At 41.5% G+C, this 3,148-nt stretch overlaps 1 protein-coding gene across 1 annotated transcript in view; it reads right to left on the bottom strand.

Annotated features, from left to right (window-relative positions):
• ANTXR1 (ANTXR cell adhesion molecule 1) overlaps positions 1-3,148 on the bottom strand; it is a 236,184-nt gene that overhangs the window by 55,907 nt on the left and 177,129 nt on the right. The window contains exon 17 of the mRNA NM_032208.3: positions 6-86. Within this exon, the coding sequence (NP_115584.1) occupies positions 6-86 (81 nt within the window). The remainder of the gene's footprint in view (positions 1-5; positions 87-3,148) is intronic.

Raw genomic sequence — 3,148 nt, 5'->3', positions numbered from 1 at the left:
CCTACCGTGTCTCCTGGCTGTGGACGCATCACAGACACACGATCATATCCTTTCCTCAGTAGGACCCACAAGGCATCGAGTTTTCCCTGAAATAAAACAAATGCACCAAGATTACATATGAAACCAGACCTGTGGCTAGCCGCCGTAGGCTCACAGAACTTTCCGTGCTTCTTCAGTCATGTGAACAACACAACACTGTCAATATGGTCATGATGGGATTAGTGACTCTGCAGTCCCTTAATTCAAAACTGGAGCTTCATGAATGGAGGAGAAGAAGAGACACACAGGAGACTCTGATGCTTGTGAAGGACGCACCCTGAGGTTTGAGTGCCCCCCAAGTTTGCAAACATAACTTGATTCAAGCTTTGGGCTTTTGTCTTTATCACATTTCTGGGCATATCCTCAGACCACAAGTCAATCTTTCCAAATTTCACTAAAGTTTTTTCTTCCCACTTGGTGCCCAGAGCTCATTAGTAAAGACACTAATGATAAATTCTGGAAAATTACTAAACGTTAAGTGTTGACAGGGCAAGACCAATTAAAGGCCCCTGGAATGCACATCCCTGGCTGTCTTCTAGGCTTGCTCAGCAGCTATAACTTGCTCTGAAGCCTGGGCTTGAGAGACAAATTACCAAGCATTACAGATGACCAAAAACCACAACCCCTTTGAGGTTGTATGTAATTGGCTGAAACGGAGAAGAGTGACTATGTCAGCACAAAGGCTTTCACAACTGATGACCAAGAACGCCCCTACAGGTGACTTTTATTTGTATTCCCGGGAACCTGTGAATATGTTACCTTACATGGCAGAAAGGACTTTGCAAATGTGATTAAGGTAAGAATGTTGAGATGGGGAGAGTATCCTGGACTATCCGGTGGGCTCAGTCTAACTGCATGGGTCCTTCCTAGAAGACCCATGGTGGCTTTTGGCAGGAGGGTCAAATCCAGAGAAGGAGATGTGCGGATAGAAGCAGAGTCACAGTGATTAGGTGTGAGACGGACTCAACCCAATGTTGCCGACTTTGGAAATGGAGGGCGGCCATAAACCAGTGGGTGTGGGCAGCCTCTAGCATCTATAAAAGACAAGGAAATAAATTCTCCTCTAGAGTCTCCAAAAGGAAAACAGCTCTGCCAACACCTTGATTTTAGTCTAGTGAGACCCGTTTGGGGCTTATGACATCTGGAACTGTAAGATAATAGATTCGTGTTGATTAAACCTTTAAGTTTCTGGTAATTCATTACAGCGACAAGAGGAAATTAATACAGTCCTTCTCACTCCCTGATATATTCTATGTTAATTTGCTGATTGTCTGTGCCCCCTGGAATGCCAGCTCCATGAAAGCAGGGGTATTGATGGTTTTGTTCACTTCTGTCTGCCTATCCCTTAGGACAACATCTGGTGCTCAATATATATTTGTTGGAGGAATGAATGTAACTAAGTGGTAGGTGCTTCCATGAGTGTTCTCTAATTGAATTGTCCCAGCAGTCCCAGAGGGCTGTGGAGAGGAAATGGAGGGTCAAAGAGAGATCAAGTAACTTGCCCAAAGGCAGATGGTTTATAAACCAGAGTTGAGATTGGAATCCATGTCTGTCTAATTCCAAATCACATATGCTTTCTATTACACCAATTGCAGATTCTTCCTCATGCAGATCTTCTGGTGAAAGCGCTTTAATTTAGATCCTTTAGAACATAGGGTTTCTCAGCTGTGGGTTGCAACCCTTTAAGCCCTTATGAAATCAATTTTGTATGGGACCAGAACTTTTAAGAAATAGAATAGAAGAGAAAATAGTAATTGCACATGGTGAGGATAAGCATTATTTTGTGAAAAATTTATCTCAGTTAAGTGTGTATGGGTGTGTGTATGACTGTGTGTGCACAAACTGGGCCAAAATGTAAAATGTATTTCCTACCCAAGCCTTAGGAACGTTTGAAAATCCTGATCTTGCAGGGGTCTTTGAATGACAGTGCTGGGAAGGCTGGAGGAGTCTAAAGAGTTTAAGTTCCTGGACACAAAGCATTTATATAGGGGCAGTGTTAAGAAGCATCTCAAATATTTCATGTTCTGAAATGATTTTCTGGTGGATTATATACACATATAAAATTGTGTTCTTTAATCTTTATAAACTGTTGTTTGAGTTCTTGTGGGTTTAACTTTGTCTTGTGGGTTAAACTTTGTCTTGCCAAGTGTAGTGTTTCTCATCTATTTTGGCAAGGAATTTACAAACGCCTTGAAAAATATTTTGAAATGATTTTAGAATGCTGGATAGAACTGCTGCTGTGTGCTGCATGGTTTTCTGTATTAAGCCGTTCCAATCACCAGCTAAATGTTTTCCTTTAAGGTTCTTTTGGATAAGCATTTATATTTCAGGATGTAACCAGGTGGGTTTCCTGGATGAATGCCTCTTTTTTCTTTCCCCTTCGTTTTCAGAAGGAGAGGACTCCCAGCATTTGGGTTTGTAAATCAGCCCACCCACAGAGCTGTGTGTGCTAATCACCCAACTCTGTGACAAATGGGCAATGAGATGGGGCAGAAAGAAGAACACTGGGCTGTTGAAGGAACACATTAATTAACTCAGCAGAAATTTAAAGTTACATGCATAGCAAAAGACCAGAAACCACCTAGATGTATAATACCAGGAGAATGAGTAGAAAATGATGTTTCTTTGTGGCAACAGATCACCCTACAGTGTAGTGTTTAAGCACAAAGTGACTGAAGCCAGCCTGCCCCAGTTTGTACTGTGGGTCTCCTTTTCACCAGCTCTATGGGTTAGATGAGTAGTTTCATCTCCCTAAGCCTTACTTTTCTCATATTTAAAGTGGAGATGATAATACTGTCTACTCTACAGACTTGCTATAAGACTTAAAATTAAATATTGAAGTTAGGTACTTGCCTCATAAAAGGTATTCATTAAATGTTACCTATGATCATAGTAAAGTCATTAAAATGATCATTTGGGAGGCTCTGTAGAGAGATGGAAAAGAATGTAATACAGAGTGTAGGAATCCAGCAATTTGAACTTTGTAAGCATGCATCTGTCCATCTTCTATTCTGTGCTTCTCCAAGACTATTTTCCTCTTACCCCCAAGCCACAGTTTTTATTCCTTCTGCCCCAATCACTCCACCCAAATTGCTCTTGCTAAGGCCAC

The sequence above is a fragment of the Homo sapiens genome, chromosome 2, assembly GCF_000001405.40.
Source record: "Homo sapiens chromosome 2, GRCh38.p14 Primary Assembly".
Taxonomy (NCBI): domain Eukaryota; kingdom Metazoa; phylum Chordata; class Mammalia; order Primates; family Hominidae; genus Homo; species Homo sapiens.
This window is presented reverse-complemented; position numbering and strand designations above follow the sequence as displayed.